Source organism: Homo sapiens, chromosome 1 (assembly GCF_000001405.40).
Source record: "Homo sapiens chromosome 1, GRCh38.p14 Primary Assembly".
In the NCBI taxonomy this organism is placed as follows: domain Eukaryota; kingdom Metazoa; phylum Chordata; class Mammalia; order Primates; family Hominidae; genus Homo; species Homo sapiens.
This window is the reverse complement of record NC_000001.11, coordinates 52,176,450-52,189,748: the sequence shown is the minus strand read 5'-3', so window position 1 is coordinate 52,189,748 and position 13,299 is coordinate 52,176,450. Positions and strand designations below refer to the sequence as shown.

The following is a 13,299-nucleotide window of genomic DNA, read 5'->3' as shown; positions in this document are numbered from 1 at the left end:
GGAGCAAATCTTTGTGGACTTGCACTAAGCAATATGACACCAAAAGCACAAGTTTAAAAAAAAAAAAACAACCTAAGGCCAAGTGCGGTGGCTCACACCTGTAATCCCAGCACTTTCAGAGGCTGAGTGAGGCAAATCACTTGAGGCCAGAAGTTTGAGACCAGCCTGGCCAACATGGCAAAACCCCATCTCTACTAAAAATCAACAAATTAGGCCGGGCTCAGTGGCTCGCACCTGTAATTCCAGCACTTTGGGAGGCCGAGGTGGGTGGATCATTTGAGGTCAGGAGTTAGAGACCAGCCTGGCCAACATGACAAAACCCCATCTCTACTAAAAATACAAACATTAGTCAGGCATGGTGGAGCACGACTGTAATCCCAGCTACTTGGGAGGCTGAGGCAGGAGAATCACTTCAACCCAGGAGGCAGAGGTTGCAGTGAGCCTGGATCGTGCCACTGCACTCCAGCCTGGGTAACAGAGTGAGATCCTATCTAAAGAAAAAAAAAAAAATAGGCTGGGCATGGTGGCTCATGCCTGTAATCCTAGCACTTTGGGAGGCTAAGGTGGATGGATCACTTAAGGTCAGGAGTTCAAGACCACCCGGGCCAATATGGTGAAACCCCATCTCTACTAAAAATACAAAATTAGCCAGGCGTGGTGGTAGGTGCCTGTAATCCCACCTACTCGGGAGGCTGAGGCAGAAGAATCACTCGAACCTGGGAGGCAGAGGTTGCAGTGAGCCGAGATCATGCCACTGCACTCCAACGTGGGCAACAAAGCAAGACTCCATCTCAAAATAAATAAATAAATAAATAAAAATAAAATAAAATAAGACAGTGGTGATTACCGCATGACTGTGAAAACTACTGAAAGTAATTCACAACTGAAAACTACTGAATTCTACACTTTGAACAGGTGAATTTTGTTATAAAGCTATCTTAAAAACATAAAAAAAAAGCTATCTTAAAAACAAGAACTAAAACTAGAAATACTGTAATTCTGATCCGCCTGACCTTAACATTGGTATTCTACCATGTACCTCAGTCTACTATATAAACCAATGCAACTCATCTTCAATTATAAGATAGAAAAATTAGCAGCCAGTCCTCTCATACCTATAAATTCATTTTATAGGCTACAAAACTATTTTTTGTACAAAATTACAAAACTATTATTTTTAATGAAATCATATTATTCAAAATATTCATCAAATGCCAATTCTAACTGTTGGATAAACTAGGCAATTTTATTTTAAAAATTTTTTAACTTATATTTTAGGTTCAGGGGTACAAGTGCAGGTTTGTTATACAGGTAAACTCATGTCACAGGGGTTTATTGTACAAATTATTTTGTCACCCAGGTAAAGGCCTAGTACCTAATACTTATTTTTTCTGATCTTCTCCCTCCTCCCAGCCTCCACCCTCCAGTAGGACCCAGTGTCCGTTGTTCCCCTCTTTGTGTCTGTGTGTTCTCATCATTTAGCTCTCACTTATAAGTAAGAACACGTGGTATACGGTTTCTGTTCCTGCATTAGTTTCCTAAGTACAACGGCCTCCAGCTCCATCCGTGTTCCTGCACAGCATATGGTCTCATTCTTTTGTATGGCGCCATAGTATTCCATGGAGTATATGTACCTCATTTCCTTTATCCAATATGCCATTGATAGGCATTTAGGTTGATTCCATGTCTTTGCTATTGTGAATAGTGCTGCAATGAACATATGCATGCATGTGTCTTTATGCTAGAACAATTTATATTCCTTTGGGTATATACCCAGTAATGGGATTGCTTGGTCAAATGATAGTTCTGTTTTTAGCTCTTTGAGGAATCACAAAACAAGGGAATCACTGTGGAAAGGAATCGTTTTCCATAATGGCTGAACTAATTTACACTCCCACCAACAGTGTATAAGAATTCCCTTTTCTCCACAACCTTGTCAGCATCTGTTATTAATTGACTTTTTAACAATAGCCACTCTGACTGGTGTGAGATGGTATCTCACTGAGGTTTTGGTTTGCATTTCTCTAATGATCAGTGATGGTGAGCTTTCCTTCATATGCTTGTTGGTCGCACATGTATGTCTTCTTTTGAAAAGTGTTCATGTCCTTTGCCCACTTTTTAATGGAGTTGTTTTTCTCTCATAAATTTGTTTAAGCTCCTTTTAGATGCTAGATATCAGACCTTTGTCAGATGCATAGTTTGCAAAAATTTTCTCCCATTCTGTAGTCTGTTTACTCTGTTGGTAGTTTGCTGTGCAGAAACTCTTAAGTTTAATTAGATGCCATTTGTCAATTTTTGCTTTTGTTGCAATGGCTTTTGGTGTCTTCATCATGAAATCTTTGCCAGTTCCTATGTCCAAAATGTATTGCCTAGGCTGTCTTCCAGGGTTTTTATACTTTTGGGTTTTACATTTAAGTCTTTAAACCATCTTGCATTGATTTTTGTGCATGGTATAAAGAAGGGGTCCAGCTTCAATCTTCTGCATATGGCTAGCCAGTTATCCCAGCACCATTTATTGAATAGGCAGTCCTTTCCCCATTGCTAGTTTTTGTCAGCTTTTGTCAAAGATCAGATGGTTGTAGGTATGGACCTTATTTCTGGGCTCTCTATTCTGTTCCATTGGTTTACGTGTCTGTTTTGTGTTAGTACCATGCTGTTTTGGTTACTGTAGCACTGTAGTATAGTTTGAGTGGGGTAATATGATGCCTCCAGCTTTGTTCTTTTTCCTGAGGATGCCCTTGGCTTTGGGGCTCTTTTTTGGTTCCATATGAATTTTAAAATATTTTTTTCTAGTTCTGTGTAGAATGCCATTGATAGTTTGATAGGAATATCATTGAATCTGTAAGTTGCTTTGGACAGTATGGCCATTTTAATGATATTGATTCTTCCTATCCATAATCATGGAATGTTTTTCCATTTGTTTGTGTCATCTCTGATTTCTTTGAGCAATATTTTGTAATTCTCATTGTAGAGATCTTTCACCTCCCTGGTTAACTGTATTCCTACGTATTAATACTTTATTCTTTTTGTGCCAATTGTGAATGGGATTGCGTTTCTAATTTGGCTCTCAGCTTGGCTGCTGTCAGTGTCTAGGAATGCTAGTGATTTCTGTGTTTATTCTGTATCCTGAAACTTTGCTGAAGCTATCAGCTGAAGGAGCTTTTGGGCCAAGACTATGAGGTTTTCTAGATATAGAATCATGTCATCTGCCAACATGGATGATAGTTTTACTTCTTTTCTTCCTATCTGGATGCCCTTTCTTTCTCTTCCCTGATCTCCCTGGCCAGGACTTCCAATACTGTGCTGAATAGGAGTAGTGAAAAAGGGCATCCTTGTCTTGTGCCAGTTTTCAAGGGAATGCTTCCAGCTCCTGCCCATTCAATATGAGGTTGGCTGTGGGTTGGTCATAGACGGCTCTTATTATTTTAAGGTATGTTCCTTCAATACCTAGTTTACTGAGAGGCTTTTTTGTTGTTGTTTTTTGGGTTTTGTTTTGTTTTTTTTTTTTTGAGACAGAGTCTCGCTCTGTCACCCAGGCTGGAGTGCAGTGGCATGATCTTGGCTCACTGAAACCTCCACCTCCCAGGTTCAAGCAATTCTCCTGCCTCAGGCTCCCAAGTAACTAGGATTACAGGTGCCTGCCACCAAGCCCAGCTAATACTGTATTTTTAGTAGAGATGGGGTTTCACCATGTTGGCCAGGCTGGTCTTGAACTCCTGACCTCAAGTGATCCACCCGTCTCGGCCTCCCAAAGTGCTGGGATTATAGGCATCAGCCACTGCACCCAACCAGGATATTGAATTTTATCAAAAGCTTTTTTTTTTTTTTTTGAGACGGAGTCTCACTCTGTCCCCAGGCTGGAGTGCAGTGGCGCAATCTCGGCTCACTGCAACCTCTGCCTCCCAGGTTCAAGCGATTCTCCAGTCTCAGCCTCTCAAGTAGCTGGGACTACAGAAACACCACCATGCCCAGCTAATTTTTATATTTTTAGTAGAGATGGGGTTTCACCATGTTGGCCAGGATGGTCTCGATTTCTTGACCTTGTGATCTGCCCGCCTTGGCCTCCAAAAGTGCTGGGATTACAGGCGTGAGCCACCGTGCCCGGCCATCAAGAGCCTTTTCTGCATCTAACCAATTTTATTTTTAACAAAGGATTTAAAAGTGCTTAGCAATACTCTATATTAAAACTTCCAACTCAATAAATAGCATATCTTACTTATTTGGTTTATTAATTAGGGACTAATACTCTACAGCTACTTAACAGAGCTAAGCAATAGAATTTTAGACATTCCTCAATAACATTTCCCAGGCTTATAATTTCATTTTTAATTTCATTAAAAATACACTAACCATTGATAATTTTGTCAGAATAAGTCTTTCCATGGGAATTTACAATCTTTTAGCATGGTGTGGCATTAGAAAACTTGCTTAGCTTCTACCTGTTTTTTTCTCTTCTTAAATGAGGATAATAAAAATATCTGTTCCAACCCTTTGTTAATGAAAATTAAAAAAGAAAGCACTCTGTAAGGTATAATTATTACTCCCTCTTCAATGAAAAAGCTGAACTAGTAGGTATTAAATTGTTGAACACCTCTTAAGAAAAGCATAAACCTGGGATGAGTGTTAGCAAGTGGGGAGATAGTACTGCAATGCGGAGGCAGACCCAAAGGTTCCACTCCCAAGCAAACAAACAAAAAATGTTGTACGTCATCAGACTTGGCAAAACATTTTATCAATTCTTTTTTTGTTTTGTTTAGCTTAGAGATAGAGACTCAGTATGCTGCCCAGACTGGTCTTGAACTCCTGAGCTCAAACAATCCTCCCCCTTGTCCTCCCAAAGTGCTGGGATTACAGGCATGAGCCACCGTGCCCAGTCTTTGTTTTGTTTTTGAGATGGGGTCTTGCTATGTTGTCCAGGCTGGTCTCTAACTCCTGGCCTCAGGTGATCCCTCCTCCTCAACCTCCCAAGCATCTGGGATTATAGGTCACCGCACTCAGTTTTTCAATTCTTTTACACTGAACATTAGCAGCTATTTAAATCTAAAGGATGGTCATCTGGAATAATCGTCCTGGATAGTCAAAGAGGAATTTGTTTCTTTGTTGTCACATTAAGTATCTGATTGAGGACCCACCCCCGCCCACCCCCGCTCCCCACCACCCGCCACCCAAAAATGGAAAAGGCTGACTTCAAAATTATTTTCCTGGCCAGATGCGGTGGCTCACACCTGTAATCCCAGAAATTTGGGAGAAAAAGGCAGGTGGATCACCTGAGGTCAGGAGTTCAAGGCCAGCCTGGCCAACATGAGGAAACCCCATCTCTACTAAAAAATACCAAAAAAAAAAAAAAAAAAAAAATTAGCTGGACTTGGTGGCAGGCGCCTGTACTCCCAGCTACTTGGGAGGCTGAGGTACAGAAGAATCACTTGAACCCAGGAGGCAGAGGTTGCAGTGAGCCAAAATCATGCCACTGCACTCCAGCCTGGGCAACAAGAGTGAAAATCCATCTCAAAATATATATATATATATCTATATATATAAATATATATATATAATGACACTTGTCATTAAAGAAATGCCAAAAGGACAAATAGAACCATGAAATGACCTAATTTAAAGCTGCCAACTAAAAAGGTGAACTATATCAAATCACCTGACCGTTGTGTGAATTTATGACATAACTCCATGATGTCCTCTCTGCAGCCCTACTCTACCTTACTGTGTCTTTTAAAAATTATTTTTATAAAAAGAAAAGCTTGGCCAGGTGCGGTGGCTCACGCCTGTAATCCCAGCACTTTGGGAAGTCGAGGTGGGTGGATCACAAGGTCAGGATCATGCCACTGCACTCCAGCCTGGGTGACAGAGTGAGACTCCATCTCAAAAAAAAAAAAAAGAAAGATAGAAAAGAAAAGCTCTGACAAGCTTATACATTAAAGACACAGCTGAGGCTGGACGCGGTGGCTCACGCCAGTAATCCTAGCACTTCGGGAGGCCGAGGCGGGTGGATTGCCTAAGCTCAGGAGTTTGAGACCAGCCTGGGCAACATGGTGAAATCCTGTCTCTACTAAAATACACAAAAAAATTAGCCGGGTGTGGTGGCACGCACCTGTACTCCCAGATACTCGGAAGGCTGAGACAGGAGAATTACTTGAACCCGGGAGGCAGAGGTTGCAGTGAGCTGAGATCGCACCACTGCACTCCAGCCAGGGAAAAAGTGAGACTCCAGCTCAAAAACAAACAAATAAATACATAAATAATTTTGAATAAAATTAATAACTCAAAAGGCAAAAGTACAAACACAGGTCTCAATTTCCTCATATGTTTAATAAAGAAACTGGTCTAGAAAATCTCTTAGTTTCCTATGACTTCTAAAATTGAGTTTGAGTATTCTATATGTTGGTGATTGCTATAAGTTACAACAAACATATATCCCAAACATTCATAGTCTACTTAACTGGTTTACTTCCCAATATATACGTTAATTAATTTTGAAACAATCTACTTTACAACATACTCTAAGTGCCTGTGTCCTCTGTCTTTTCAACCTTTCCCTTTTACGGTCTGTAAACATCCTCAACATCTTTTGATAACAAACATTAAAACCTCTCCTTCAACCCTACATTTCCCTCTAATTACTGCCCTTTCGCCTTCTTTTCACAGCCACATTCTTTTAAAAGAAAAAAATTACTGACCTTTACTTACTTTCAATTCTTACTTTCAATCTACTAAAACTGCTCTACCTAAGGTCATCAATGACTTTCTAATTGCCAATCCTAATAGACACCTTATTTTTTTTAATTTATTCACATTTAAAACTAAATATTCTTTTTATAGTTATATGTCAAAAAATAGTGACTAGGTTTTATGGCTTACTTAAAATATAAATGAGGAAAATACACATGTGCCATACCAATAGCTGGTTTTATTTTTTTTTTAAAGGAAATACTATAATTTAAAAAAGAGTTCCAAAATATTTATTTTTTTTTATTTTTTATTTTATTTTTTATTGATCATTCTTGGGTGTTTCTCGCAGAGGGGGATTTGGCTGGGTCACAGGACAATAGTGGAGGGAAGGTCAGCAGATTAACAAGTGAACAAAGGTCTCTGGTTTTCCTACGCAGAGGACCCTGCAGCCTTCCGCAGTGTTTGTGTCCCTGGGTACTTGAGATTAGGGAGTGGTGATGACTCTTAACAAGCATGCTGCCTTCAAGCATCTGTTTAACAAAGCACATCTTGCACCGCCCTTAATCCATTTAACCCTGAGTGGACACAGCACATGTTTCAGAGAGCACAGGGTTCGGGGTAAGGTCATAGATCAACAGGATCCCAAGGCAGAAGAATTTTTCTTAGTACAGAACAAAATGAAAAGTCTCCCATGTCTACTTCTTTCTACACAGACACAGCAACCATCTGATTTCTCAATCTTTTCCCCACCTTTCCCCCTTTTCTATTCCACAAAACCGCCACTGTCATCATGGCCCCTTCTCAATGAGCTGTTGGGCACACCTCCCAGACGGGGTGGTGGCCGGGCAGAGGGGCTCCTCACTTCCCAGTAGGGGCGGCCGGGCAGAGGCGCCCCTCACCTCCCCGATGGGGCAGCTGGCCGGGCGGGGGGCTGACCCCCCACCTCTCTCCTGGACGGGGGGCTGACCCCCCCACCTCCCTCCGGACGGGGCAGCTGGCCGGGCGAGGGGCTGACCCCCTCGCCTCCCTCCCGGACGGGGCGGCTGGCCGGGCGGTGGGCTGACCCCCTCGCCTCCCTCCGGGACGGGGCGGCTGGCCTGGCGGTGGCTGACCCCCACCTCCCTCCCCGACGGGGTGGCTGCCGGGCGGAGACGCTCCTTACTTCCCAGACGGGGTGGCTGCCGGGCGGAGGGGCTCCTCGCTTCTCAGACGGGGCGGCTGCAGGGCGGAGGGGCTCCTCGCTTCTCAGACGGGGCGGCCAGCCAGAGACGCTCCTCACCTCCCAGACGGGGTCGCAGCCAGGCAGAGGCGCTCCTCACATCCCAGACGGGGCAGCGGGGCAGAGGCGCTCCCCACATCTCAGACGATGGGCGGCCGGGCAGAGACGCTCCTCACTTCCTAGATGGGATGGCGGCCGGGAAGAGGCGCTCCTCACTTCCTAGATGGGATGGCGGGCGGGCAGAGACGCTCCTCACTTTCCAGACTGGGCAGCCAGGCAGAGGGGCTCCTCACATCCCAGACGATGGGCGGCCAGGCAGAGACGCTTCTCCCTTCCCAGACGGGGTGGCGGCCGGGCAGAGGCTGCAATCTCGGCACTTTGGGAGGCCAAGGCAGGCGGCTGGGAGGTGGAGATTGTAGCGAGCCGAGATCACGCCACTGCACTCCAGCCTGGGCACCATTGAGCACTGAGTGAACCAGACTCCGTCTGCAATCCCAGCACCTCGGGAGGCCGAGGCTGGCGGATCACTCGCAGTTAGGAGCTGGAGACCAGCCCGGCCAACCCAGCGAAACCCCGTCTCCACCAAAAAAATACGAAAACCAGTCAGGCGTGGCAGCGCGCGCCTGCAATCGCAGGCACTCAGCAGGCTGAGGCAGGAGAATCAGGCAGGGAGGTTGCAGTGAGCCGAGATGGCAGCAGTACAGTCCAGCTTCGGCTCGGCATCAGAGGGAGACCGTGGAAAGAGAGGGAGAAGGAGACCGTGAGGGAGAAAGTGAGGGAGAGGGAGAGGGAGAGGGAGAGGGACGAGTTCCAAAATATTTAACAGAATTTCCAGCAATGATTATTTCTACCTTTTTTTTTTTTTTTTTTTTTGAGACGGAGTTTTGCTCTTTGTTGCCCAGGCTGGCATGCAATGGGGTGATTCAGCTCACTGCAACCTCCGCCTCCCAGGTTCAAGTGATTCTCCTGCCTCAGCCTCCTGAGTAACTGGGATTACAGGCATGCGCCACCACGCCCGGCTATTTTTGTATTTTTAGTGGAGACAGGGTTTCTCCATGTTGGTAAGGCTGGTATCGAACTCCCAACTTCAGGTGATCTGCCTGCCTCAGGCTCCCAAAGCACTGGGATTACAGGCGTAAGCCACCGCGCCCGGCCCAGCAATGATTATTTCTAAAATGTAAAGATTTGAAACATAATTTGTACAAAACTAAAAACCAGAAGAATTCATTCTTACTTTATCCTTTTTTAAAAAATCCAGACAATTTGTCACAAGAAAGTGATAGCAGCTGCAGCCTCAGTCACCCTCAGAATCACTGTCCCTCTTCATGGGGACAGAGCATTGCACTGAGGACAGCAATACATCTTCAACTGGCTTCTTAGGGTTTTCCTCCAGGTCCCTCTTAATTGCTCCAGATTCAGACAGTTTTCACTGCAACTCATCTCTTGTCAGGTTAATGCCGCCAAACACCAGAGGACCAATAAACTGAGCCTTGATATCTCCTTCCACGTAAACAAATATCATGGGCAGATTCCTATCAGGATAACTGGGTATGCAGGTTGTTGAAATGGCTTTGATAAATTTGACATCAGGAAACTTCCTGGCAACTCCACTGAGGTGCTGATTTATCAGGGCACAGAGGGGAATTCCTTGTTTGTAAAGGTGCAAGACGACCCACAAACCCTCACTGGCTTTGGTAACTTCTTGAACATAATCCTTCCCTGAGATCTCCAAAACTTCTTCAAATTTATTCTTCAATTTAGTTGCTTTCCACTCAGCCAGTCTCTGCTGTCTGTACATTTCAATAGCACATTCATCCTCCTCATTAAACTTGTCTTCACGATCCTCCAGCTCTTCCAAAGTCATATCTTCCTATGTTGTCACGACTGACTGCTGGAGGATGCGCTGCTCATCTTCTGCCTCCTCTTCCAATTCTTTCAGACTTTAAGATGCCCTTTTTGTGTAAGATGTCACTCCATTCAGTGTCTGCGTTGGGGTCCTGCATCTTGTTTCCAATTGCTGAAGCCAGCTGTGCCCCCTAATAGACACTTTAAATCCTTTTTATTTAGCCTATCCACAGGAACACTCTTTTTTAAAACTCTCCTCCTCCGCTCCTATAAAAACTTGATACTCTCTATTGATTTTCCTCTTCTTTTCTTTGTCTCCTTTTGTGGACTTTATTCCACTGTGTCACTTAAATGTGACTTTTTTTTTTTTGAGACACAATCTTGCTCTGTTGCATAGGTTGGAGTGCAGTGGCACAATCTCAGCTCACTGCAACCTCCACCTCTCGGGTTCAAAAGATTCTCCTGCCTCAGCCTCCCAAGTAGCTGGGACTATAGGCATGTGCCACCACGCCCAACTAATTTTTGTATTTTTAGTAGAGACAGGTTTCACAACGTTAGCCAGGCTGGTCTTGAACTCCTGACCTCACACAATCCGCCCGCCTCAGCCTCCCAAAGTGCTGGAATTACAGGCATGAGCCACCACGCCCGGCCTTAAATGTGACTTTTAATCCAGTCTCATGTTCTCTCTCATGACCTCTTGTCTCTTCACTCTACATGGTTTCACTGGATGATCTCATTCACCCTTGTGGCTTTAACTACTCCCTAAAACCTAGTATGTCTTCTGCACTCCATCGCCTCATCTAAGCCTGAATGATACACTCAATCATCCAAACCCAGACATCTAAGAACCACTCTACCCACCAATCAATCCTAACAATTCAAACCCTAAATATCTCTTGTGGCCAGGCACAGTGTCTCACATCTATAATTCCAGCATTTTGGGAGGCCACGGAGGGAGGGCTGCTTGAGCCCAGGAGTTCAAGACCACCCTGGGCAACAAAGGGAGACCCTGTCTCTACAAAAACAAAAAAATTAGCCAGGCATGGTGGCACATGCCTGTGGTCCCAGCTACTCAGGAGGTTGAGGTAGGAAGATTGTTTGGGCCAAGAGGTCGAGGCTCCAATGAGCCATGATCACACCACTGCACTCCAGCCTGGGTAACAGAGCGAGACTCTGTCTCATAAATAAGTAATTATCTCTTGAATCCATCCCTTCCTATCCATTCTAGATGTTACTACTCTAATTTATATTATTGTCTCTGGCTTTGTTTTCTTCAATAGTTTCCCCAATGATAACCCTGTATCCATTCTGGCCCTCATTCAACCCATCTGCTACACAGACAACAAAATAATCTTTCTAAATCTTCAACCAAATAAGCCGGGCGAGGTGGCTCATGCCTGTAATCCTAGCACTTTGGTAGGCCGAGGCAGGTGGATCACAAGGTCAGGAGTTCAAGACCAGCCTGTCTAATATGGTGAAACCCTGTCTCTACTAAAAATACAGAAATTAGCCGGGCATGGTGGTGGGTGCCTGGGTCCTAGCTACTCAGGAGGCCGAGGCAAGAGAATCACTTGAATCCAGGAGGTGGAGGTTACAGTGAGCCAAGATCGTGCCACTGCACTCCTGCCTGGGCGATAGTGCGAGACTCCGTCTCAAAAACGAAAAAAAAAAAAAGCCCAAATATGCCCAAGTAGCCTACCTTTTTTTTTTTTTTTTTTTTTTTTTGAGATGGAGTCTTGCTCTGTCACCCAGGCTGGAGTGCAGTGGCGGGATCTGGGCTCACTGCAAGCTCCACCTCCCAGGTTCATGCCATTCTCCTGCCTCAGCCTCCCAAGTAGCTGAGACTACAGGCGCCAGCCACCACACCCAGCTAATTTTTTGTATTTTTAGTAGAGATGGGGTTTCACCTTGTTAGCCAGGATTGTCTCGATCTCCTGACTTCGTGATCTACCCGCCTCGGCCTCCCAAAGTGCTGGGATTACGGGCGTGAGCCACTGTGCCCGGCCTATTATTTTAAATTCTTCATTGGTTCCCCATGCCCTGCTAAAAAAAAAAAAAACAAAACTACTTTTCATAGTATATGAAGTCTTTCATAATCTAGCTCCTGTGTCTAAGTATCTACTTTACCTCTTGCCCTCAATTCCTTTCAGCCTACAAAACTAGCATAACACACTATTTGCAGTTCCCCAATTAGATAGCATATGTTGTTCCACATACTGCTACACGTTTGTGCCCAGGTTTTCCTCTGCTTAAAACACCCCTCTCATCTTTATCCATCTGGAGAACTCCTGTTAATTTTTCAATACTAAACAAAAGTGTCACCATTTCAGTCAAGCTTTCCTCGATCTCTCCAGATGGAACTGATCATCTTCACACAATTTGGTGTATTTACTCATTTACATATTTGCCTTCCCAACTAGTCCTTTAATTCCTTGATGGCACAGATGTCTTATTCCTTTTTCTATATCTAGCACTTAAGCACGGTCTTGAGAGAGTACATGGGTCATGTACTGGACAGATCTCCCAGACAAAAAATCAACAAAGAAACATCAGACTTGGGCCAGGTGCAGTGGCTCACGCCTGTAATCCAGCACTTTGTGCGGCGAGGCGGATGGATCATGAGGTCAGGAGTTCAAGACCAGCCTGGCCAAGATGGTGAAATCTCATTTCTACTCAAAAATACAAAAATTAGCCAGGTTGGTAGCTCATGCCTGTAATCCCAGCTACTGGGGAGGCTGAGGCAGGAGAAGTGCTTGAACCTGGGAGGCAGAGGTTGCAGTGAGCTGAGATCCTGCCATTGCACTCCAGCCTGGGTGACAAGAGGGAGAGTCCGTCTCAAAAAAAAAAAAAAAAAATCGGGCTGGGGAGCCAAGATGGCCAAATAGGAACAGCTCCGGTCTACAGCTCCCAGCGTGAGCGACGCAGAAGATGGGTGATTTCTGCATTTCCATCTGAGGTACCGGGTTCATCTCACTAGGGAGTGCCAGAGAGTGGGCACAGGACAGTGGGTGCAGCGCACTGTGCACGAGCCGAAGCAGGGCAAGGCATTGCCTCACTCGGGAAGCGCAAGGAGTCAGGGAGTTCCCTTTCCTGGTCAAGGAAAGGGGTGACAGACGGCACCTGGAAAATCGGGTCACTCCCACCCCAATACTGCGCTTTTCTGACGGGCTTAGGAAACGGCGCACCAGGAGATTATATCCCACACCTGGCTCGGAGGGTCCTATGCCCACGGAGTCTCGCTGATTGCTAGCACAGCAGCCTGAGATCAAACTGCAAGGCGGCAGCGAGGCTGGGGGAGGGGCGCCCACCATTGCCCAGGCTTGCTTAGGTAAACAAAGCAGCCGGGAAGCTCGAACTGGGTGGAGCACACCACAGCTCAAGGAGGCCTGCCTGCCTCCGTAGGCTCCACCTCTGGGGGCAGGGCACAGACAAACAAAAAGACAGCAGTAACCTCTGCAGACTTAAATGTCCCTGTCTGACAGCTTTGAAGAGAGCAGTGGTTCTCCCAGCACACAGGTGGAGATCTGAGAATGGGCAGACTGCCTCCTCAAGTG

The 13,299-nt window shown here is 45.3% G+C and overlaps 1 protein-coding gene and 1 pseudogene across 2 annotated transcripts in view, besides 1 other annotated feature; both read right to left on the bottom strand.

Moving 5' to 3' along the window:
* The window catches only part of ZFYVE9 (zinc finger FYVE-type containing 9), a 204,546-nt gene that overhangs the window by 156,886 nt on the left and 34,361 nt on the right, over positions 1-13,299 (bottom strand). The gene's annotated exons all lie outside the window — the stretch shown is intronic.
* Positions 6,909-7,878: an enhancer, noted in NCBI's record as "NANOG-H3K27ac hESC enhancer chr1:52647543-52648512 (GRCh37/hg19 assembly coordinates)". NCBI's record gives its function as "activates a minimal SCP1, AML or CMV promoter by ChIP-STARR-seq in naive and primed H9 embryonic stem cells {active_cell/tissue: H9 hESC(naive and primed)}" and the evidence as "EXISTENCE:reporter gene assay evidence [ECO:0000049][PMID:30033119]".
* Positions 9,055-9,934, bottom strand: PDCL3P6 (PDCL3 pseudogene 6; annotated as a pseudogene).